At 41.2% G+C, this 26,823-nt stretch overlaps 1 protein-coding gene across 5 annotated transcripts in view, besides 1 other annotated feature; it reads right to left on the minus strand.

Moving 5' to 3' along the window:
• The window catches only part of SLC22A25 (solute carrier family 22 member 25), an 85,163-nt gene that overhangs the window by 26,680 nt on the left and 31,660 nt on the right, over window positions 1–26,823 (minus strand). The window lies entirely within an intron of this gene.
• Window positions 17,377–17,556: a silencer, noted in NCBI's record as "fragment chr11:62969965-62970144 (GRCh37/hg19 assembly coordinates)". NCBI's record gives its function as "represses an EF-1alpha promoter that drives an FKBP-Casp9 reporter gene in an ReSE screen in K562 erythroleukemia cells {active_cell/tissue: K562}" and the evidence as "EXISTENCE:reporter gene assay evidence [ECO:0000049][PMID:32094911]".

Consider the following 26,823-nt stretch of genomic DNA (forward strand, 5'->3'; position numbering starts at 1 on the left):
AATCACAAGTATTTTATTTTATTTTATTTTTTTATTATACTTTAAGGTTTAGGGTACATGTGCACAATGTGCAGGTTAGTTGCATATGTATACATGTGCCATGTTGGTGTGCTGCACCCATTAACTCGTCATTTAACATTAGTTATATCTCCTAATGCTATCCCTTCCCCCTCCCCTCACCCCACAACAGGCCCTGGTGAGTGATGTTCCCCTTCCTGTGTCCATGTGTTCTCATTGTTCAATTCCCACCTATGAGTGAGAACATGTGGTGTTTGGTTTTCTGTCCTTGCGATAGTTTGCTGAGAATGATGGTTTCCAGCTTCATCCATGTCTCTACAAAGGACATGAACTCATCCTTTTTTATGGCTGCATAGTATTCCATGGTGTATATGTGCCACATTTTCTTTTTTTATTTTTATTTTTTATTTATTTATTTATTAATATACTTTAAGTTTTAGGGTACATGTGCACATTGTGCAGGTTAGTTACATATGTATACATGTGCCATGCTGGTGCGCTGCACCCACTAACTCGTCATCTAGCATTAGGTATATCTCCCAATGCTATCCCTCCCCCCTCCCCCCACCCCACCACAGTCCCCATAGTGTGATATTCCCCTTCCTGTGTCCCTGTGATCTCGTTGTTCAATTCCCACCTATGAGTGAGAATATGCGGTGTTTGGTTTTTTGTTCTTGCGATAGTTTACTGAGAATGATGATTTCCAATTTCATCCATGTCCCTACAAAGGACGTGAACTCATCATTTTTTATGGCTGCATAGTATTCCATGGTGTATATGTGCCACATTTTCTTAATCCAGTCTATCAGTGTTGGACATTTGGGTTGGTTCCAAGTCTTTGCTATCGTGAATAATGCCACAATAAACATACGTGTGCATGTGTCTTTATAGTAGCATGATTTATAATCCTTTGGGTATATACCCAGTAATGGGATGGCTGGGTCAAATGGTATTTCTAGTTCTAGATCCCTGAGGAATTGCCACACTGACTTCCACAATGGTTGAACTAGTTTACAGTCCCACCGACAGTGTAAAAGTGTTCCTATTTCTCCACATCCTCTCCAGCACCTGTTGTTTCCTGACTTTTTAATGATCACCATTCTAACTGGTGTGAGATGGTATCTCATTGTGGTTTTGATTTGCATTTCTCTGATGGCCAGTGATTATGAGCATTTTTTCCTGTGTCTTTTGGCTGCATAAATGTCTTCTTTTGAGAAGTGTCTGTTCATATCCTTTGCCCACTTTTTGTTGGGATTGTTTGTTTTTTTCTTGTAAATTTGTTTGAGTTCATTGTAGATTCTGGATATTAGCCCTTTGTCAGATGAGTAGATTGCAAAAATTTTCTCCCATTCTGTAGGTTGCCTGTTCACTCTGATGGTAGTTTCTTTTGCTGTGCAGAAGCTCTTTAGTTTAATTAGATTCCATTTGTCAATTTTGGCTTTTGTTGCCATTGCTTTTGGTGTTTTAGACATGAAGTCCTTGCCCATGCCTATGTCCTGAATGGTATCGCCTAGGTTTTCTTCTACAGTTTTTATGCTTTTAGGTCTAACATTTAAGTCTTTAATCCATCTTGAATTAATTTTTGTATAAGGTGTAAGGAAGGGATCCAGTTTCAGCTTTCTACATATGGCTAGCCAGTTTTCCCAGCACCATTTATTAAATAGGGAATCCTTTCCCTATTTCTTGTTTTTGTCAGGTTTGTCAAAGATCAGATAGTTGTAGATATGTGGCATTATTTCTGAGGGCTCTGTTCTGTTCCATTGGTCTATATCTCTGTTTTGGTACCAGTACCATGCTGTTTTGGTGACTGTAGCCTTGTAGTAGAGTTTGAAGTCAGGTAGCATGGTGCCTCCCGCTTTGTTCTTTTGGCTTGGGATTGACTTGGCAATGTGGGCTCTTTTTTGGTTCCATATGAACTTTAAAGTAGTTTTTTCCAATTCTATGAAGAAAGTCATTGGTAGCTTGATGGGGATGTCATTGAATCTATCAATTACCTTGGGCAGTATGGCCATTTTCATGATATTGAATCTTCCTACCCATGAGCATGGAATGTTCTTCCATTTGTTTTTATCCTGTTTTATTTCATTGAGCAGTGGTTTGTAGTTCTCCTTGAAGAGGTCCTTCAGATCTCTTGTAAGTTGGATTCCTAGGTATTTTATTCTCTTTGAAGCAGTTGCGAATGGGAGTTCACTCATGATTTGGCTCTCTGTTTGTCTGTTATTGGTGTATAAGAATGCTTGTGATTTTTGTGCACTTATTTTATATCCTGAGACTTTGCTGAAGTTGCTTATCAGCTTAAGGAGATTTTGGGCTGAGACAATGGGGTTTTCTAGATATACAATCATGTCATCTGCAAAGAGGGACAATTTGACTTCCTCTTTTCCTAATTGAATACATTTATTTCCTTCTCCTGCCTGATTGCCCTGGCCAGAACTTCCAACACTATGTTGAATAGGAGTGGTGAGAGAGGGCATCCCTGTCTTGTGCCAGTTTTCAAAGGGAATGCTTCCGGTTTTTGCCCATTCAGTATGATATTGGCTGTGGGTTTGTCATAGATAGCTCTTATTATTTTGAGATACCTCTCATCAATACCTAATTTATTGAGAATTTTTAGGATGAAGAATTGTTGAATTTTATCAAAGGCCGTTTCTGCATCTTTTGAGATAATCATGTGGTTTTTGTCATTGGTTCTCTTTATATGCTGGATTACATTTATTGATTTGCATAGGTTGAACCAGCCTTGCATCCCAGGGATGTAGCCCACTTGATCATGTTGGATAAGCTTTTTGATGTGTTGCTGGATTTGGTTTGCCAGTATTTTATTGAGGATTTTTGCATCAAGGTTCATCAGGGATATTGGTCTAAAATTCTCTTTTTTTATTGTGTCTCTGCCAGGCTTTGGTATCAGGATTATGCTGGCCTCATAAAAGGAGTTAGGGAGGATTCCCTTTTCTTCTACTGATTGGAATAGTTTCAGAAGGAATGATACCAGCTCCTCTTTGTACCTCTGGTAGAATTCGGCTGTGAATCCATCTGGTCCTGGACTTTTTTTGGTTGGTAAGCTATTGATTATTGCCTTAATTTCAGAGCCTGTTATTGGTCTATTCAGAGATTCAACTTCTTCCTGGTTTAGTCTTGGGAGGGTGGATGTGTCCAGGAATTTATCCATTTCTTCTAGTTTTTCTAGTTTATTTGCATAGAGGTTTTTATAATATTGTCTGATGGTAGTTTGTATTTCTGTGGGATCGGTGGTGATATCCCCTTTGTCATTTTTTATTGCGTCTATTTGATTCTTCTCTCTTTTCTTCTTTATTAGTCCTGCTAGCGGTCTATCTATTTTGTTGCTCTTTTCAAAAAACCAGCTCCTGGATTCATTGATTTTTTGAAGAGTTCTTTGTGTCTCTATCTCCTTCAGTTCTGCTCTGATCTTAGTTATTTCTTGCCTTCTGCTAGCTTTTGAATGTGTTTGCTCTTGTTTCTCTAGTTCTTTTAATTGCGGTGTTAGGGTGTCAATTTTGGATCTTTCCTGCTTTCTCTTGTGGGCATGTAGTGCTATAAATTTCCCTCTACACACTGCTTTGAATGCGTCCCAGAGATTCTGGTATGTTGTGTCTTTGTTCTCGTTGGCTTCAAAGAACATCTTTATTTCTGCCTTCGTTTTGTTATGTACTCAGTAGTCATTCAAAAGCAGGTTGTTCAGTTTCCATGTAGTTGAGTGGTTTTGAGTGAGTTTCTTAATCCTGAGTTCTAGTTTGATTGCACTGTGGTCTGAGAGACAGTTTGTTATAATTTCTGTTCTTTTACATTTGCTGAGGAGTGCTTTACTTCCAACTATGTGGTCAATTTTGGAATAAGTGCGGTGTGGTGCTGAGAAGAATGTATATTCTGTTGATTTGGGGTGGAGAGTTCTGTAGATGTCTATTAGGTCCACTTGGTGAGAGCTGAGTTTAGTTCCTGTATATCCTTGTTAACTTTCTGTCTCATTGATCTGTCTAATGTTGACAGTGGGGTGTTAAAGTCTCCCATTATTATTGTGTGGGAGCCTAAGTCTCTTCCTAGGTCTCTAAGGACTAGTTTTATGAATCTGGGTACTCCTGTATTGGGCACATATATATTTAGGATAGTTAGCTCTTCTTGTTGAATTGACCCCTTTACCATTATGTAATGGCCTTCTTTGTCTCTTTTGATCATTGTTGGTTTAAAGTCTGTTTTATCAGAGACTAGGATTGCTACCCCTGCTTTTTTTTGTTTCCATTTGCTTGGTAGATCTTCCTCCATCCCTTTATTTTGAGCCTATCTTTGTCTCTGCACATGACATGGGTCTCCTGAATACAGCACATTGATGGGTCTTGACTCTTTAAACAATTTGCCAGTCTGTGTCTTTTAATTGGAGCATTTAGCCTATTTACATTTGAGGGTAATATTGTTATGTGTGAATTTGATCTTGTTATTATGATGTTAGCTGGTTATTTTGCTCATTAGTTGATGCAGTTTCTTCCTAGCATCGATGGTCTTTACAATTTGGCATGTTTCTGCAGTGGCTGGTACCGGTTGTTCCTTTCCATGTTTAGTGCTTCCTTCAGGAGCTCTTTTAAGGCAGGCCTAATGGTGACAAAATCTCTCAGCATTTGCTTGTGTGTAAAGGATTTTATTTCTCCTTCACTTATGAAGCTTAGTTTGGCTGGATATGAAATTCTGGGTTGAAAATTCTTTTCTTTAAGAACGTTGAATATTGGCCCCCACTCTCTTCTGGCTTGTAGAGTTTCTGCCGACAGATCAGCTGTTAGTCTGATGGGCTTCCCTTTGTGGGTAACCCAAGCTTTCTGTCTGGCTGCCCTTAACATTTTTTCCTTCATTTCAACTTTGGTGAATCTGACAATTATGTGTCTTGGAGTTGCTCTTCTTGAGGAGTATCTTTGTGGTGTTCTCTGTATTTCCTGAATTTGAATGTTGGCCTGCCTTGCTAGATTGGGGAAGTTCTCCTGGATAATATCCTGCAGAGTGTTTTCCAACTTCATTCCATTCTGCCCATCACTTTCAGGTACACCAATCAGATGTAGATTTGGTCTTTTCAGATAGTCCCATATTTCCTGGAGGCTTTTCTTGTTTCTTTTTACTCTTTTTTCTCTACACTTCTTTTCTGATTTCATTTCATTCATTTGATCTTTCATCACTGATACCCTTTCTTCCAGTTGATTGAATCGGCTACTGAGGCTTGTGCATTCATCATGTAGTTCTCGTGTCGTGGTTTTCAGCTCCATCAAGTCCTTTAAGGACTTCTCTGCATTGGTTATTCTAGTTAGCCATTCGTCTAATTTTTTTTTCAAGGTTTTTAACTTCTTTGCCATGAGTTCGAACTTCCTTCTTTGGCTCGGAGTAGTTTGATCATCTGAAGCCTTCTTCTCTCAGCTCGTCAAAGTCATTGTCTGTCCAGCTTTGTTCCATTGCTGGTGAGGAGCTGCATTCCTTTGGAGGAGGAGAGGCACTCTGATTTTTAGAGTTTCCAGTTTTTTTTACTCTGTTTTTTCCCCATCTCTGTGGTTTTATCTACCTTTGCTCTTTGATGATGGTGACTTACAGATGGGATTTTGGTGTGGATGTCCTTTCTGTTTGTTAGTTTTCCTTCTAACAGTCAGGACCTTCAGCTGCAGGTCTGTTGGAGTTTGCTGGAGGTCTACTCCAGACCCTGTTTGTCTGGGTATCAGCAGCAGAGGCTGCAGAACAGCGGATATTGGTGAACCGCAAATGTTGCTGCCTGACTGTTCCTCTGGAAGTTTTGTCTCAGAGGAGTACCCAGCCGTGTGAGGTGTCAGTCTGCCCCTACTGGGGGCTGCCTCCCAGTTAGGCTACTCAGGGTTCAGGGACCCACTTGAGGAGGCAGTCTGCCCATTCTCAGATCTCCAGCTATGTGCTGGGAGAACCACTACTCTCTTCAAAGCTGTTAGACAGGGACATTTAAGTCTGCGGAGTTTTCTGCTGCCTTTTGTTTGGCTATACCCTGCCCTGAGATGTGGAGTCTACAAAGGCAGGCAGGCCTCCTCAAGCTGCGGTGGGCTCCACCCAGTTGGAGCTTCCCAGCTGCTTTGTTTACCTACTCAAACCTTGGCAATGGTGGGTGCCCCTCCCCCAGCCTCGCTGCCACCTTGCAGTTTGATCTCAGACTGCTGTGCTAGCAATGAGTGAGGCTCTGTGGGCATAGGACCTTCTGAGTCAGGCATGGGATATAATCTCCTGGTATGCCGTTTGCTAAGACCATTGAAAAGCACAGTATTAGGGTGGGAGTGACCCGATTTTCTGGGTGCCCTCTGTCACCCCTTTCTTTGATTAGGAAAGGGAATTCCCTGATGCCTTGTGCTTCCTGGGTGAGGCAATGCCTCACCCTGCTTCAGCTCATGCTCAGTGCACTGCACCCACTGTCCTGCACCCACTGTCTGACACTCCCCATTGAGATGAACCTGGTACCTCAGTTGGAAATGCAGAAATCTCCTGTCTTCTGTGTTGCTCACACTGGGAACTGTAGACTGGAGCTGTTCCTATTTGGCCATCTTGGCTCCACCCCCCCAATCACAAATATTAAAAGCAGAATAAACTAAGAAGAAGAAATAATCTCAGAGCTTGCAGACTGCCTTTGTGAAATAAGACAGTCAGACAAGAATAGAGAAAAAAGAATGAAAAGGAATAAAAGCAACAGAAGAGACTGAATCTACAACTGACTGATGTACCTGAAAGGGATTGGAAGAATGGAACCAACTTGGAGATCACATTTCAGGATATCTTCCATAAGAAGTTTCCCAACTTAGCTAGAGAGGCAAACATTCAAATTCAGGAAATGCAGGAAATGCACAGAATTCCAGTAAGATACTTCACAAGAAGATCATCTTCAAAACACATAATATTCAGGTTCTCCAAGGTTGAAATGATGATAGAAAAAATGTTAAATGCAGCTAGAAAGAAAGGCCAAGTCACCTACAAAAGGAAGCCCATTGGACTAATAGTGGGCCTCTCAGATGAAACCCCCTACAAGCCAGAAGAGATTGGGGATGAATATTCAACATTCTTAAGAGAAGAAATTCTAATCCAGAATTTCATATTTGGCCAAACTAAGCTTCAGAAATGAAGGAGAAATAAGATCCCTTTTCAGACAAGCAAGTGTTGAGGGAGTTCATTACCACCAGACCTGTCTTACAAGAGCTCCTGAAAGAAGCACTAAATATGGAAAAGAAAGTCCATTACCAGCCATTACAAAAACACACTGAAGTACACAGGACAGAGACACTATAAAGCAGACTCATGAACAAGTCTGAAAAATGATCAGTTAGCATCATGATGACAGGATCAAATCCACACGTATCAATACTAACCTTAAATGTAAATAAGCTAAATGCCCCAGTTAAAAGACACAGAGTGGAAATCTGGATAAAAAAACAAGACCCATTGGTGTGCTGTCTTTAAGAGATCCATCTCACATGCAATAGCACACACAGGCTCAAAGTTAAGGGATGTAGAAAAATCAACCAATAAAATAAAAAGGCAGAAAAACCAGGGGTTGCAATCCTACTTTCTGACAGAACAGAGTTTAAACCAACAAACATGAAATAGAGAAAGAAGGCATTACATAATGGCAAAGGGTTCAATTCAACAAGAAGATCTAACTATCTTAAATATGTATGCATCCAATGCAGGAGTACCCAAATTCATAAAGCAAGTTCTTAGAGACCTTCAACAAGAAAGATTCCCACACAATAAGAGTGGGAGATTTTAACACTCCACTGACAATATTAGACAGATCATCAAGACAGAAAATTAACAAAGATATTCAGGAGCTGACATCAGCACTGGATCAAATGGTCCTGACATGTATCTGAAGAACTCTCCACCCAAACCAATAGAATATACATTCTTCTCATTGCCACATGTCACATATTCTAAAATCAATCACTTAATCAGAAGCAAAACACCCCTCAGCAAATGCAAAATAACTGAAATCATAAAAACAGTCTCTCAGACCACAGCACAATCTAATTAGAAATCAAGACAAGAGATTGTTCCAAGATAACTGAATAGGAACAGCTCCAGTCTACACCTCCCAGCATGAGTGATGAAGAAGATGGGTGATTTCTGTATATCCAACTGAGCTTTTAAGAGAGCAGTGGTCCTCCTACCATGGAGTTTGAGATCTGAGAACAGACAGTCTGCCTCCTAAAGTGGGTCCCTGAACCCCGAGTAGCCTAACTGGGAGACACCTCCCAATAGGGGCTGACTGACACCTCATACAACTGGGTGCCCCCCTGAGACGAAGTTCCAGAGGAAGGATCAGGAAGCAACATTTGCTGTTCTGCAATGTTTGCTGTTCTGCAGCCTCTGCTGGTGACACCCAGGCAAACAGGGTCTGGAGTGGACCTCCAGCAAACTCCAACAGACCTGCAGCTGAGGGTCCTGATTGTTGGAAGGAAAACTAACAAACAGAAAGGAATAGCACCAACATCAACAAAAAGGACATCCACACCAAAACCCCATCTGTATGTCACCATCATCAAAGATCAAAGGTAGATAAAACCACAAAGATGGGGAGAAACAAGAGCAGAAAAGCTGAAAATTCTAATAACCAGAGTGCCTCTTCTCCTCCAAAGGACTGCAGCTCCCTGCCAGCAATGGAACAAAGCTGGACGGAGGTGACTTTGATGAGTTGACAGAAGTAGGCTTCAGAAGATCGGTAATAACAAACTTCTCTGAGCTAAAGGGGGATGTTCAAACCCATTGCAAGGAAGCTAAAAACCTTGAAAAAAGATTCGACAAATGGCTAACTAGAATAAACAGTGTAGAGAAAACCTTAAATGACCTGATGGAGCTGAAAACCATGGCATGAGAACTACGAGATGCATGCACATGCTTCAGTAGCCAATTCGATCAAGTGGAAGAAAGGGTATCAGTGATTGAAGAACAAATGAATGAAATGAAGTGAGAAGAGAAGTTTAGAGAAAAGAGAGTAAAAAGAAATGAACAACGCCTCCAAGAAATATGTGACTGTGTGAAAAGACCAAATCTATGTTTGATTGATGTACCTGAAAGTGATGGGGAGAACGGAACCAAGTTGGAAAACACTCTTCAGGATATTATCCAGGAGAACTTCCCCAACCTAGCAAAGCAGGCCAACATTCAAATTCAGGAAATACAGAGAACGCCACAAAGATACTCCTCAAGAAGAGCAACCCCAAGACACATATTGTTATATTCACCAAAGTTGAAGGAAAAAATGTTAAGGGCAGCCACAGAGAAAGGTCGGGTAAAGAAAAGAATTTTCAACCCAGAATTTCATATGCAGCCAAACTAAGCTTCATAAGTGAAGGAGACATAAAATCCTTTACACACAAGCAAATGCTGAGAGATTTTGTCACCATCAGGCCTGCCCTAAAAGAGCTCCTCAAGGAAGCACTAAACATGGAAAGGAACAACGGGTATCAGCCACTGCAGAAACATGCCAAATGTAAAGACCATCGATGCTAGGAAGAAACTGCATCAACTAACGAGCAAAATAATCAGCTAACATCATAATGACAGGATCAAATTCACACATAACAATATTAGCTTTAAATGTAAATGCACTAAATGCCCCAGTTAAAAGACACAGACTGGCAAATTGTATAAAGAGTCAAGACTCATCAGTGTGTTGTATTCAGGAGACCCATCTCATGTGCAGAGACACACATAGGCTCAAAATAAAGGGATGGAGGAAAATCTACCAAGCAAATGGAAAGCAAAAAAAAAAAAAAAAAAAAAAAAAAAAAAAAAAAAAAAAAAAAAAGCAGGGGTTGCAATCCTAGTCTGTGATAAAACAGACTTTAAACCAACAGTGATCAAAAGAGACAAAGAAGGCCATTACATAATGGTAAAGGGATCAATGCAACAAGAAGAGCTAACTATCCTAAATATATATATGCACCCAATACAAGAGCACCCAGATTCATAAAGCTAGTCCTTAGAGACCTACAAAGACACTTAGACTCCCACACAATAATAATGGGAGACTTTAACACCCCACTGTCAACATTAGACAGCTCAGTGAGACAGAATGTTAACAAGGATATACAGGAACTAAACTCAGCTCTGCACCAAGTGGACCTAATAGACATCTACAGAACTCTCCACCCCAAATCAACAGAATATACATTCTTCTCAGCACCACACCGCACTTATTCCAAAATTGACCACAAAGTTGGAAGTAAAGCTCTCCTCAGCAAATGTAAAAGAACAGAAATCACAACAAACTGTCTCTCAGACCACAGTGCAATCAAATTAGAACTCAGGATTAAGAAACTCACTCAAAACCACTCAACTACATGGAAACTGAACGACCTGCTCCTGAATGACTACCGAGTACATAACAAAATGAAGGCAGAAATAAAGATGTTCTTTGAAGCCAACGAGAACAAAGACACAACATACCAGAATCTCTGGGACACATTCAAAGCAGTGTGTAGAGGGAAATTTATAGCACTAAATGCCCACAAGAGAAAGCAGGAAAGATCCAAAATTGACACCCTAACATCGCAATTAAAAGAACTAGAGAAACAAGAGCAAACACATTCAAAAGCTAGCAGAAGGCAAGAAATAACTAAGATCAGAGCAGAACTGAAGGAGATAGAGACACAAAGAGCTCTAAAAAATTAATGAATCCAGGAGCTGGTTTTTTGAAAAGATCAACAAAATAGATAGACCACTAGCAGGACTAATAAAGAAGAAAAGAGAGAAGAATCAAATAGACGCAATAAAAAATGACAAAGGGGATATCACCACGGATCCCACAGAAATACAAACTACCATCAGATAATACTATAAACACCTCTATGCAAATAAACTAGAAAATCTAGAAGAAATGGATAAATTCCTGGACATATCCACCCTCCCAAGACTAAACCACGAAGAAGCTGAATCCCAGAATAGACCAATAAGAGGCTCTGAAATTGAGGTAATAATTAATAGCCCTCCAACCAAAAAAAGTCCAGGACCAGACTGATTCACAGCCGAATTCTACCAGAGGTACAAAGAGGAGCTGGTACCATTTCTTCTGAAACTATTCCAATCAATAGACAAAGAGGGAGTCCTCCATAACTCATTTTATGAGGCCAGCATAATCCTGATACCAAAGCCTGGCAGAGACACAACAACAAAAAAAAGAATTTTAGACCAATATCCCTGATGAACATCGATGCAAAAATCCTCAGTAAAATACTGGCAAACCGAATCCAGCAGCACATCAAAAACCTTATCTGCCACGATCAAGTTGACTTCATCCCTGGGATGCAAGGCTGGTTCAACCTATGCAAATCAATAAACATAATCCAGCATATAAACAGAACTAACGACAAAAACCACATGATTATCTCAATAGATGCAGAAAAGGCCTTTGACAAAATTCAACAGCCCTTCATGCTGAAAACTCTCAATAAATTAGGTATTGATGGGCTGTATCTCAAAATAATAAGAGCTATTTATGACAAACCCACATCCAATATCATACTGAATGGGCAAAAACTGGAAGCATTCCCTTTGAAAACTGGCACAAAACAGGGATGCCTTCTCTCACCAGTCCTATTCAACACAGTGTTGGAAGTTCTGGCCAGGGCAATCAGGTAGGAGAAAGAAATAAAGGGTATTCAATTAGGAAAAGAGGAAGTCAAATTGTCCCTGTTTGCAGATGACATGATTGTATATTTAGAAAACCCCATCATCTCAGCCCAAAATCTCCTTAAGCTGATAAGCAACTCAGCAAAGTCTCAGGATACAAAATCAATGTGCAAAAATCACAAGCATTCCTATACAGCAATAACAGACACACAGAGAGCCAAACCATGAGTGAACTCCCATTCACAATTACTTCAAAGAGAATAAAATACCTAGGAATCCAACTTACAAGATATGTGAAGGACCTTTTCAAGGAGAACTACAAACCACTACTCAACGAAATAAAAGAGGACACAAACAAATGGAACACCATTCCATGCTTCTGGATAGGAAGAATCAGTATCGTGAAGATGGCCATACTGCCCAAGGTAATTTATAGATTCAATACCATCCCCATCAAGCTACCAATGACTTTCTTCAAACAATCAGAAGAAATGACTTTAAAGCTCATATGGAACCAAAAAAGAGCCCACATTGCCAAGACAATCCTAAGCCAAAAGAACAAAGCTGGAGGCATCACGCTACCTGACTTCAAACTCTACTACAAGGCTACAGTCACCAAAACAGCATGGTACTGGTACCAAAACAGAGATATAGACCAGTGGAACAGAACGGAGTCCCCAGATATAATACCACACATCTACAACCATCTGATCTTTGACAAACCTGGCAAAAAGAAGAAATGGAGGAAACTGGCTAGCCATATGTAGAAAGCTAAAACTGGATCCCTTCCTTACACCTTATACAAAAATTAATTCAAGATGGATTAAAGACTTAAATGTTAGACCTAAAACCATAAAAACCCTAGAAGAAGACCTAGGCAGTACCATTCAGGACCTAGGCATGGGCAAGGACTTCATGACTAAAACACCAAAAGCAATGGCAACAAAAGCCATAATTGACAAATGGCATCTAAGTAAACTAAAGAGCTTCTGCACAGCAAAAGATGCTACCATCAGAGTGATCAGGCAACCTACAGAATGGGAGAAAATTTTGGCAATCTACTCATCTCACAAAGGGCTAATATCCAGAATCTACAAAGAACTTAAATAAATTTACAAGGAAAAATGAAACAACCCCGTCAAAAAGTGGGCGAAGGATATGAGCAAACACTTCTCAAAAGAAGACATTTATGCAGCCAAAAAACACATGAAAAAATGCTCATCATCACTGGCCATCAGAGAAATGCAAATCAAAACCACAATGAGATACCATCTCACAGCGTTAGAAAGGCGATCATTAAAAAGTCAGGAAACCACAGGTGCTGGAGAGAATGTGGAGAAATAGGAACACTTTTACACTGTTGGTGAGACTGTAAACTAGTTCAACCATTGTGGAAGACAGTGTGGTGATTCCTGAAGGATCTAGAACTAGAAATACCATTTGACCCAGCGATCCCATTACTGGGTATATATCCAAAGGATTATAAATCATGCTGCTATAAAGACACATGCACACATATGTTTATTGTGGCACTATTCACAATAGCAAAGACTTGGAACCAACTCAAATGTCGATCAATGATAGACTGGATTAAGAAAATATGACACATATAAACCATGGAATACTATGCAGCCATAAGGATGACTTCATATCCTTTGTAGGAACATAGATGAAGGTGGAAACCAGCACTCTGAGCAAACTGTTACAAGGACAGAAAACCAAACACCACATGGTCTCACTCATAGGTGGTAATCGAACAATGAGAACACTTGGACACAGAGTGGGGAACATCACACCAGGGCCTGTCATGAGGTTGGGGGATGGGGGAGGGATAGCATTAGGAGAAATACCTAATGTAAATGATGAGTTAATGGGTCCAGCACACCAAAATGGCACATGTATACATATGAAACAAATCTGCACATTGTGCACATGTACCCTAGTACTTTAAGTATAATAAAAAAAAGAAAAAAGAAATCAAGACAAGAAATTTATTCAAAATCATACAATTACATGAAAATTCAATAACCTGCTCCTGAATGACTTTTGGATAAGTAAGGAAATTATGGCAGAAATCAAGAAATTCTTTGAAACTTAATGAGAACAAAGATACAACATACCAGCATCTCTGGGACACAGCTAAGGCAGTGTTAAGGTGGAAATTTATAGTACTAAATGCTCACATCAAAAAGTTGGAAAGATCTAAAGTTAACAACCTGACATCACAACTGAAAGAACTAGAGAGCAAAGAGCAAATAAATCCCAAAACTAGAAGACAAGAAATAATCAAAATTAAAGCTGCACTGAAGGAGATTGAGACACAGAAGCCGTTCAAAAGATGAACTAATAAAGATTCATTTTTTGAAAAAATTAATAATATATATATAGATCCCTAGCTAGACTAATAAAGAAGAAAAGAGAGAAGACTCAAATAAACAAAATCAGAAACATCAAGGGTGATATTACCATTGACCTCATAGAAATACAAACAACAATCAGAGAATATTATGAACACCTCTATGCACATAAACTAGAAAATCTAGAAGAAATGGATAAATTCCTGGACACATAAACCCTCCCAAGACTGAACCAGGAAGAATTTGAATCCCCGAACAGACCAATAACAAGCTCTGAAATTGAGGCAGTAATAAATAACCTACTGAAGGAAATAATGTATACAGTGGTCCATTTCCAAGACAAAGTGCCTTGAATTGGCTTAGAACTACAGAAGAGACAGGATATACTAAGACCCTGCTTGAATAGCTGATGCCTACTTCTCAGCCTCCCCCTCCCGCCTCCCTCCTCACTTAGCTGCCCTCACTTGAACCAAAGACATTTAGTCTAAGATAAAATTTACTAGTCTCCAAAGTAGCTCACTTTGTGTGTTCTTATCAGCCTGCCCAGCTACTTAGGTCATAAGTCAAATATGTAAAAAGCCCCTGAGCTCATTAGGATTGCAAGGCATTGTGGGTTGCAAAAAAAATGCAGCAAGACAACCCTAAAAAAACACCTGAAGCCACTACCCAAAAATCAATAGGCGACGTCCGAGAAGATTGTAACCTCATATATTCAGCCTATGAGGAACCAGGGGAGGGACTTGCACACTATGGGATAAATTGCTTGTTGATACTGTGCTGGATGTGCCTGCGTGCCAGACACCCAATCTTGCAAGATCACCATTGAAAGTCTCACTTCCGCTGTTCTCTGTGTCTCTGAGTCCATTCTTTGGGTTTGGACAAGTGAGTTTGTTTCTCACACATAACAACCAAAAAAAGCCCAGGACCTGATGGTTTCACAGCTGAATTCCACCAAATGTACAGAGAAGAGCTGGTACTATTCCTACCAAAACTATTCCAAAAAATTGAGGAGTAGAAACTCCTCCCTAACTCATTCTATGAGGGCAGCATCATCCTGACGCCAAAACCTGGCAGAGATACAACAAAAATAGAAAACTTGAGGCCAACATCCTTGATGAACATCAGTGCAAAAATCCTTAAAAAATTACTGGTAAACAGAATCCAGCAGCACATTGAAAAGCTTATCCAGCATGATCTAGTAGACTTTATCCTTGGGAAGTAAGGATGGCTCAACATAAACAAATCAATAAATTTGATTCATCACATAAACAGAACTAAAGACAAAAACACATGGTTGTCTCAAGAGATACAGAAAAGGCTTTCAATAAAATTCAACATCCATTAATATTAAAAAAAACTGTCAATAAACTAGGTATTGACAAAACATACCTCAAAATAGTAAGTGCCATCTATGACAAACCCACAAACAACATAATACTGAATGGGCAAAAGCTGGAAGCTTTCCACTTGAAAACTGGCACAAGATGAGGTTGCCCTCTCTCACCACTCCTATTCAACATAGTATTGGAATTCCTGGCCAGGGCAATCAGGCAACAGAAAGAAATAAAGGGCATCCAAATAGGAAGAGAGGAAGTCAAACTATCCCTGTTCATAGATGACAGGTCTTATATCAAGAAAACCCCATAGTCTCAGACCAAAAGCTTCTTAAGCTGATAGACAACTTCAGCAAAGTCTCAGGGTACAAAATCAATGTGCAAAAATCACTAGCATTCCTGTACACCAACAACAGCCAAGCCAAGAGCCAAATAATGAATGAACACCCATTCACAATTGCCACAAAAAGAATAAAATGCCTAGGAATACAGCTAACTAAGGAGGTGAAAGATCTCTACAAGGAGAACTACAAACCACTGCTCAAAGAAATCAGAGATGATACAAACAGAAAAAATTGCATGCTCATGGATAGGAAGAACCAATATTGTTAAAGTGGCCATACTGCCCAAAGCAATTTATAGATTCAATGCTATTCCTATTCAGCTACCACTGAGATTCTTCACAGAGCTAGGAAAAACTATTTTAAAATACATATGAAACCAAAAAGGAGCCTGAACAGCCAAGACAATCCTAAGCAAAAGAAATGAAGCTGGAGGCATCCATCATGCTACCCAACTTCAAACTTTACTACAGGGCTTCAGTGACCAAAACAGCATGGTACTGGAACAAAAACAAACACATAGACCAATGGAACAGAACAGAGAACACAGAAATAAGACCAAACACCTACAACTCTCTGATCTTCAACAAAACTGACAAAAACAAGCAATGGGGGAAATAATTCCCTATTCAATAAATGGTGCTATGATAACTGGCTAGACATATTCAGAAGACTAAAACTGAACTCCTTACTTACACCATGTACAAAAATTAACTCAATATAAATTGAAAACTTAAACGTAAAATCCCAAACTATAAAAACCCTGGAAGACAACCTAGGCAATACCATTCAGGACATAGGCACAGGAAAAGATTTCATGATAAAAACACCCAAAGCAATTGCAACCAAAGCAAAAATTGACAAATGGCATCTAACTAAACTAAAGAGCTTTTGCACAGTAAAAGAAACTATCAACAGAGTAAACAGACAACCTACAGAATGGGAGAAAATTTTTGCAAACTATGCATCCAATAAAGGTCTGATATTCAGAATCTATAAGGAAGTTAGACAAAATTTCAATAAAAAAACCCCATTAAAAGTGGGCAAAGAGGGGTGGCTGGCAAGATGGCTGAAGAGGAACAGCTCTGGTCTGCAGCCCCCAGCGAGATCAATGCAGAAGGTGGGTGATTTCTGCATTTCCAACTGAGGTACCTGGCTCATCTTATTGGGACTGGTTAGACAGTGGGTGCAGCTCACAGAGGGTGAGCAGAAGCAGGTTGGGACATCACCTTGCCTGGGAAGTGCAAGGGGTTGGGTAACTCACTCCCCTAGCCAAGGGAAGCCATGAGGGACTGTGCTGTGAGGGACGGTGCATCTGGGCCCAGATACTATGCTTTTCACATGGTCTTCACAGCCCGCAGACCAGGAGATTCCCTTGGGTGCTTATACCACCAGGGACCTGGGTTTCAAGCACAAAACTGGGTAGTCATTTGGGCAGACACTGAGCTAGCTGCAGGAGTTTTTTTTTTTTTAATACCCCAGTGGTGCCTGGAATGCCAGTGAGACAGAACCATTCACTCCCCTGTAAAGGGGGCACTGAAGCCAGGGAGTTAAGTGGTCTAGCTCAGTAGATCCCACCCCCATGGAGCCAAGCAAGCTAAGATCCACTGGCTTGAAATTCTCACTGCCAGCACAGCAGGCTGAAGTCGACTTGGGACACTAGAGCTTGGTGAGGGGAAGGGTGTCCAACATTACTGAGGCTTGAGTAGGCGGTTTTCCCCTCACAGTGTAAACAAAGACACAAGGAAATTTGAATTGGGCGGAGCCCACCACGGCTCAGTGCCTAAGCTGCTGTAGCCAGACTGCTTCTCTAGATTCCTTCTCTCTGGGCAGGGCATCTCTAAAAGAAAGGAAGCAGCCCCAGTCACGGGCTTATAGATAAAATTCACATATCCCTGGGACAGGGCACGTGGGGGAAGGGGCGGCTGTGGGCGCAGCTTCAGCAGACTTAAACGTTCCTGCTTGCTGGCTCTGAAGAGAGCAGTGGATCTCCGAGCACAGTGCTTGAGCTCTGCTAAGGGACAGACTGACTCCTCAAGTGGGTCCCTGACCCCGGTGCCTTCTGACAGGGAGACACTTCCCAGCAGGGGTTGACAGACACCTCATACAGGAGAGCTCCAGCTGGCATCTGGCAGGTGCCCCTCTGGGATGAAACTTCCAGAGGAAGGAGCAGGCAGCAATCTTTGCTGTTCTGCAGCCTCTGCTGGTGATACCCAGGGAAACAGGGTCTGGAGTGGACCTCCAGCAAATGCCATCAGACCTGCGGCAGAGGGGCCTGATTATTAGAAGTCAAACTAACAAACAGAAAGGAATAGCATCAACATCAACAAAAAGTACAATCACACAAAAACCCCATCTGAAGGTCACCGACATCAAAGACCAGAAGTAGATAAATCCACAAAGATGAAGAAAAACCAGTGCAAAAAGGCTGAAAATTCCAAAACCAAGAATGCCTCTTCTCCAAAGGATCACAACTCCTTGGCAGCAAGGGAACAAAACTGGACACAGAATGAGCTTGACAAATGGACAGAAGTAGGCTTCAGAAGGTGGGTAATAACAATCTCCTCTGAGCTAAAGGAGCATGTTCTAACCCAATGCAAGGAAGCCAAGAACCTTGAAAAAAGGATAGATGAATGGCTAACTAGAATAACCAGTTTAGAGAAGAACATAAATGACCTGATGGAGCTGCAAAACACAGCATGAGAACTTCATGAAGCATACACAAGTATCAATAGCAAAATTGATCAAGCAGAAGAAAGTATATCAGAGATTGAAGATCAACTTAATGAAATAAGGTGTGAAGACAAGATTAGAGAAAAAAGAATGAAAAGGAATGAACAAAGTCCCCAAGAAATATAGGACTATGTGAAAAGACCAAACCTATGATTGACTGGTGTACATGAAAGTGACGAGGAGAATGAAACCAAATTGGAAAATACTCTTCAGGCTATTATCCAGGAGAACTTCCCCAACCTAGCAAGACAGGCCAACATTCAAATTCAGGAAATACAGAGAACACCACAAAGATACTCCTCGAGAAGAGCAACCCCAAGACAGATAAGCATCAGATTCAGCAAGGTTGAAATGACAGAAAAAATGTTAGGGGTAGCCAGAGAGAAAGGTCAGGTTACCTACAAAGGGAAGCCCATCAGACTAACAGTGGATCACTCTGCAGAAACCCTACAAGCCAGAAGAGAGTGGGAGCCAATAATCAACACTCTTAAAGAAAAGAATTTTTAACCCAGAATTTCATATCCAGCCAAACTAAGCTTCATAATTGAAGGAGAAATAAAATCCTTTGCAGACAAGCAAATGCTAAGAGATTTTGCCACCACCAGGCCTGCCTTACAAGAGCTCCTGAAGGAAGCACTAAATATAAAAAGGAAAAACTGGTAGCAGCCACTGCAGAAACATACCAAATTGTAAAGACCATTGACAATATGAAGAAACGGCATCAACTAATGGGCAAAATAACCAGCTAGCATCATAACGACACTATGAAATTCACATATAACCATATTAACCTTAAATGTAAATGGGCTAAATGCCCCAAATAAAATACACAGATGGGCAAATTGGATAAAGAGTCAAGACCCATCTGTGTGCTGTATTCAGGAGATCCATCTCACATGCAAGAACACACATAGGCTCATAATAAAGGGATGGAAGAATATTTACCAAGCAAATAGAAAGAAAAGCAGGGGTTGTAATCCCAGTCTCTGATAAAACAGACTTCAGACTTTAAACCAAAAAAGATCAAAAAAGTCAAAGAAAGGCATTACATAATGGTAAAGGGATAAATGCAACAAGAAGAGCTAAGTATCCTAAATATAAATGCACCCAATACAGGAGCACCCACATTCATAAAGCAAGTTCTTAGAGACCTACAAAGAGACTTAGACTCCCACACTATAATATTGGGAGACTTTAACACCCCACTGTCAATATTAGATAGATCAATGAGACAGAAAATTAACAAGGATATTCAGGACTTGAACTCAGCTCTGCACCAAGCCAACCTAATAGACATCTACAGAACTCTTCAGCCAAAATAAACAGAATATACATTCTTCTCAGCACCACATCACCCTTACTCTAAAATAGACCACATAATTGGAAGTAAAACATTCCTCTGCAAATGCAAAAGTATGGAAATCATAACAAACAGTCTCTCAGACCACAGTGCAATCAAATTAGAACTCAGGATTAAGAAACTCACTCAAACCCACACAACTACATGGACACTGAACAACCTGCTCCTGAATGACTATTGGGTAAATAACAAAATTAAGGCAGAAAAAAATACATTTTCTGAACCCGATGGGAACAAAGATACAATGTACCAGAGTCTCTGGGACACATTTAAAACAGTGTTTAGAGGGAAATTTATAGCACTAAATGCCCACAGAGGAAAGTGGGAAACATCTGTAATTACCATCCTAACATCACAATGAAAAGAACTAGAGAAGTAAGAGTAAACAAATTCAAAAGCTAGCAGAAGACAAGAAATAACTAAGATCAGAGCAGAAATGAGAGATAGAACCATGAAAACCCTTCAAAAAATCAATGAATCCAGCAGCTGTTTTTTGAAAAAAATAACAAAATAGACCGCTAGCAGGACTAATACAGAAGAAAAGAGAGAAGAATCAAATTGGCACAATAAAAAATGATAAAGGGGATATCACTGCTGATCCCATAGAAATACAAACTGCCATCACAGAATATTATAAACAACCCTATGCAAATGAAGTAGAAAATCTAGATGAAATGGATAAATTCCTGGACATATACATTCTCCCAAGACTAAACCAGGAAGAAGTTGAATCCTTGAATAGACCAATAACAAGTTCTGAAATTGAGGCAGTAATTAATAGCCTACCAACCAACCAAAGGCCAGGACCAGAAAGATTTACAGCCGAATTCTACCAGAGGTACAAAGAGAAGTTGGTACCCTTCCTTCTGAAACTATTCCAAACAACAGAATAAAAGGGACTCTTCCCAAACTCATTTTATGAGGCCAGCATCATCCTGATACCAAAACCCGTTGGAAACACAACAAAAAAATTCAGGCCAATATTCCTGATGAACATTAGTGCAAAAATCCTCAATAAAATATGGGCAAACTGAATCCAGCAGCACATCAAAAAGCTTATCCACCACCATCAAGTCAGCTTCATCCCTGGGATGCAAGGCTGGTTCCACGTAAGCAAATCCATCACATAAACAGAACAAATGACAAAAACCACATGATTATCTCAATAGATGCAGAAAAGGCCTTCAATAAAATTGAACACCACTTCATGCTAAAAACTCTCAATAAACTAGTTATTGATGGAACGTATCTCAAAATAATAGCAGCTATTTATTATGAACCTATAGCCAATATCATACTAAATGGGCAAAAGCTGGAAGCATTCCCTTTGAAAACCAGCACAAGATGAGGGTGGTGTCTCTCACTACTCCTATTCAACATAGTATTGGAAGTTCTGGCCAGGCCAATCAGGCAAGAGAAAGAAATAAAGGGTATTCAAACAGGAAGAGAGGAAGTCAAAATCTCTCTGTTTCCAGACAGTATGATTGTTTATTTAGAAAACCCCATTGTCTCAGTCCAAAATCTTCTTAAGCTGATAAGCAACTTCAGCAAAGTCTCAGGATACAAAATCAATGTGCAAAAATCACAAGCATTCCTATACACAAATAATAGAAAAACAGAGAGCCAAATCATGAGTGAACTCTCATTCACAGTTGCTACAAAGAGAATAAAATACCTAGGAATAGAACTCACAAGGGATGTGAAGGATGTCTTCAAGGAGAATTGCAAACCACTGCTCAAGGAAATAAGAGAAAATACAAACAATGGAAAAATATTCTGTGCTCATGGATAGAATCAATATCATAAAAATGGCCATACTGCCCAAAGTAATTTAAAGATTCAATGCTATCCCCAACAAGCTACAAATGACTTTTTCACAGAATTAGAAAAAAGTACTTGAAATTTCATATGGAACTACAAAAGAGCCTACGTAGCCAAGGCAATGTTAAGCAAAAAGAACAAAGCTGGAGGCATCATGTTACCTGACTTCAAACTACATTACAAGGCTACAGTAACCAAAACAGCATGGCAGTGGTACCAAAACAGATACATAGACCACTTGAACAGAACAGAGCCCTCAGAAATAATTTCACACATCCACAACCATCTGATCTTTGATAAACCTGACAAAAACAAGCAATGGGGAAGGGATTCCCTATTTAATAAATGGTGCTGGGAAAACTGGCTAGCCATATACAGAAAACTGAGGGGTCCACCTTATACAAAAATTAACTCAGGATGAATTAAAGACTTAAATGTAAGACCTAAAGGCATAAAAACCCTAGAAGAAAACCTAGGCATTACCATTCAGGACATAGGCATGGACAAAGATTTTATGACTAAAACACAAAAAGCAATGGCAACAAAAGCCAAAATTGATAAATGGGATCTAATTAAGCTAAAGAGCTTCTGCACAGCATTGGTAACTATCATCAGAGTGAACAGGCAACCTTCAGAAGGGGAGAAAATTTTTGCAATCTATTCATCTGGCAAAGGGCTAATATCCAGAATCTACAAGGAACTTAAATAAATTTACAAGAAAAAAATACTCCATCAAAAAGTGGGTAAAGGATATGACCAGACACTTCTCAAAATAAGACATTTATGCAGCCAACAAACATATGAAAAAAAGCTCATCATCACTGGTCATTAGAGAAATGCAAATCAAAACCACAATGTGATACCATCTTGGAACAGGAATTAAGAGAAATGAAAGAATGTGTAAGCAGAAACTCAGCTGTATGTAAGAAAACCCAATTCCCCCTGAGAAAAAGAAAGAGCTGGAGTCCTTTAAAAATTAACTGCCTATTTTTCTGTGGCTAGTGAGCCTTATCTCTCCTTCTTTCCTAGGCATTGTGAAGACCCTGTTTCTCTAGATGTGTAGCTGCAAGGTCACTAGACAGATAAACTCAAGTCGTAAAACATGTTTGTTTTTGAAATGTAAGAAATGATGTAATGCATGTCTTAATTAATTGAATAACTGTCTTTGTTTCTCACTTCTGTAATATGCTTCCCCCTGCACAGATCTCCCCCTACCCCACGAAATGCTTAAAAGGTAACTTAAGTCTTTGTTCAGGGCTCAGTCCTTTGGATGCTAATCTGACTGGGCCAGCACACCTAAATAATAACTATCCTCCTGAACCCCATTGGTCTCTCTGATTCCTTAACAATCCTGCAACATTTCTGGGGACTCATCCAGGATTGGAGATGACAGATTTACTGTCTCCTTTGCCTGTGGGACTACAGCCCTGTGGCCATGGGAGACCTGGCATCCAAGGCATACCATGAGGGAGCTTCACCTGGATGGAGACTGGCTCTTCCCCCATCCTGGCAGCCTGCCTGGCAGTGCAATGGAGCCAGGGGTGGGGCTGCAGTATGATACCAGCACTTCAGGAACCATGGTAAGGAGCAAGGGCCCAAGGCAGGGAAGCCCATCCCATAAGGACAAAGGGGAGCTTCATCACCTCCCAGGGAACAACCACTAATCCAACCCAGAATGGCTGGGGGTGGCAGGAGTCGCTTGCCAATTTGGATGAACCTCATGTCCCCACTAACAAAGTGAAAGTGGTTCATTGGATCTGGAGACAGGAACTGGGAGTGTGTGCGTGCATGTAAACCTACCCGGGACACGAGAGAGGCTCATTTCATCTGATAGGAAGTCCTGGGGTAGGAGTGGTGTGTGTATGTGTGAGAATGTGGGAGCCTAACTAGGCTCACCTGGGACATGAGAGAGGCTTGTTTCATCTGATGAGGAGTCCTGGGGCAGGGGAGATGTGTGAAAGTGTGTGAAAGAGACAGTGTTGGGAGAGGCCAATGTGGGGAGTGACAGGAGGCATAGATCCCTTAGCAGGGGCTGTGTGCTTGGAGGTGAGTGTGGGGGAAATTAGAACTAGGATGCTGCATATGGCTGATAGGACCAGCTTCATGGCCAGCTTCATGGCTGTAGCAGGCTGTGACAGGGGAAGGCACGTTCCTGGCTAAGCAGCATCCAAAACTCCCATAACAGGACCCGGTCTGGTGGACCCAAGAGTGAAAGTGTGCCACAAGGGAGGAAATGGGAGGGAAAGTGTCAAAACCAACTCCTTTGGAGTGCATGATAAAGTATTTAAAAAAAGGATTTAGAGGTGATTATGGCATGAAACTGGATGCTCAAAAATTAAGGACGTATTGTGAGATAGATTGGCCTGCTTTCAATGTGGGGTGGCCCTCTGAAGGTACAAAAGACAGGAAATTAATTGGCCGTGTGTTTAAGGTGGTCACTGGAGTTGGAGGACAACCAGGATACCCAGACCAGTTTCCCTATATAGACTCTTGGCTCAGTGTGGCACAAACTAGCCCCAATTGTTTACAGCCCTGCCTAGAGGGATACTGCAAGGCATTAGTGGCTCGGGCACCCAACCAAAGAAAGCAGAGGAACCTAAAGCCCCTAGCATCTCCCAGGAAAAGGAATCCCTGAAGCCTCAGCCAAAACCAGTTCTTCAGGCCCCACCAGAGGAAAGAGAATGTCGGCCCCCATATGTGCCAGTCTACCCGTCTTTGGCCAGAATAAGGCAGGAGGCAGAGTCAGGAGCATCTGGAGAGTCAGGCTTGGAGGAAAGTGAGGCTCAGTCTCCCCTGAAAGAGTAACAGAAGCCCCCGTTAGAAAAAAACAGGGAAGATGGACAGGGCGAGGCAGCTGGGCACCTCTGCTCAGGCGAACCACAGGCTTTGCAGATGCCACTTTGAGAGACCAGGATACAAGTTTATGATGACCAGGGGCAGACACAAGGTGGCTCTAGGGTTTACGTTTATCAGCCTTTCTCCACTACTGATCTCTTAAATTGGAAACAGCACACCCCTTCCTATACAGAAAAGCCTCAGGCCCTCATTGATTTGGTGAATTCTATTATTATGACACACAACCCAACCTGACCAGATTGTCAACAACTTTTGCTAACTTTATTTAATACAGAGGAGCATAGGAGAGTTAATCAGGCAGCTCTCAGCTGGTTAGAAGGGGAAGCCCCAGAGGCCACCCCTAACCCATGCCAGTTCACTGTGGAGCAATACCCAAATGAGGCAAGGGACATGGAATGGCTGCAGCTATATAGAAAGGCACTCCCAAATGGGAAAAAAGCAGGAGGAAGGAAGGCAATGAATATGAGTAAAATATCAGAAGTGTGCCAAAAGCCTGACAAAAGCCAAAGTGCATTCTATGAAAGGCTTTGCGAGGCATATAGGCTGTACTCTCCAATTATTCCAGAGGCTCCTGAAAACCAAAATATGATAAAAATGACCTTTGTCAGGCAAGCTCAGGGAGACATAAGATGAAACCTTCAGAAGCCGGAAGGCTTTGCAGGGAAACACATTAGTGAACTCCTGGAAATAACAAACAAAGTATACATAAACCGGGAAGAAAGGAAGAAAGAAAAACCAGAAATAGAAACAAAGAGACAGCTTGATTTATAGCTGCTGCACTAGCAGAAATTAACCCTGGATTTGCTAGAGGGCATGGCTGAGGCAGAGGCTGAGGAAGGGGGAAGACAAGACCAGGAGAGGAAGGCCAGTCTTGGTTGGACAGGAACCAATGTGCAAGATGCAGGCAAATGGGCCACTGGAAAGATGAGTGCCCCGAAAAGGAAAAGGATGGAGATGATGGTCAATTGTCTAACACCCGAGTGTGGCATTCTGTTGCTATTCATGTCTGAAAGGCAGATCCTGACCTGATTGGCTTAGGGGGCTGAGAATTTTGAGGACTGAGACAGACTGGGCTCCATATTTTTAGGCCATGGGGAGCCTATGGTGTCTATGGAAGTAGGGGGCCGATTAATGGATTTTTTGGTTGATACTGGTGCTGATTACTCTGTGGTAACTCACCCAATTAGCCCCTCCACGAAGAACTGTGCTACTATCGTAGGGGCTACTGGGGCCAAAGAAAAGAAACCTTTATGCAAATCCAGGGGATGTGTTATTGGGGCACAAAAAGTACAGCATGAGTTTCTATATATGCCAAATTGTCCAGTGCTCTTGTTAGGGAGAGACTTACTCCAGAAACTGCAGGCACAAATTTCCTTTATACCTAAAGGGAATATGACCCTGGAGATAGAGGTGCTAAAGGCAATGGGTATTGACCCTGACTGTCCCAAGGGCTGAGGAGTGGCAGCTCTATGAACTGTGTGCCAGAAGGCCACTGGAGCCAGACCTACACAATATGTGGGGGATGCTTTTCAAGGTACCACGTGTATAGGCTGAGGAAAACCCCCCTGGACTTGCTGCAAACAGACCCCTGGGTGGTAGTAGAGCTTAACCCTCATGCTGCCTCGGTATGAGTCCGTCAATACCCACTACCTAGAGAGGAAATTGAAGGAATAACAAAACATCTAAATCAGCTCTATGAACATGGGATTATAGTGAAATGCAAGTCCTCCTGGAATACTCCTCTGCTGCCCATGAGCAAGCCAAAAGGTGAATACAGGCCAGTGCAGGATCTCCAGGCGGTAAACAAGGCCACTGTGACTATCCATGCCATAGTACCCAACCCTTACACAATGTTGGGACAGATTCCTGCTGAGGCCACGTGGTTCACATGTCTGGACTTAAAGGATGCCTTCTTTTGTTTGAAGCTTGCTCCCCAAAGTCAGCCTATATTTGCCTGCCAGTGGGGGCAATTGCAATATGCCTGGACAAGGCTGCCGCAAGGGTTTAAGAATTCTCCTACCATTTTTGGTGCTGGGAAAATTGGCTAGCCATATGTAGAAAGCTGAAACTGGATCCCTTCCTTACACCTTATACAAAAATTAATTCAAGATGGATTAAAGACTTAAATCTTAGACCTAAAACCTTAAAAACCCTAGAAGAAAACCTAGGCAATACCATTCAGGACATAGGCATGGGCAAGGACTTCATGTCTAAAACACCAAAAGCAATGGCAACAAAAGCCAAAATTGACAAATGGGATCTAATTAAACTAAAGAGCTTCTGCACAGCAAAAGAAACTACCATCAGAGTGAACAGGCAACCTACAGAATGGGAGAAAACTTTTGCAATCTACTCATCTGACAAAGGGCTAATATCCA

Source organism: Homo sapiens, chromosome 11 (genome assembly GCF_000001405.40).
Source record: "Homo sapiens chromosome 11, GRCh38.p14 Primary Assembly".
Classification (NCBI taxonomy): Eukaryota; Metazoa; Chordata; class Mammalia; order Primates; family Hominidae; genus Homo; species Homo sapiens.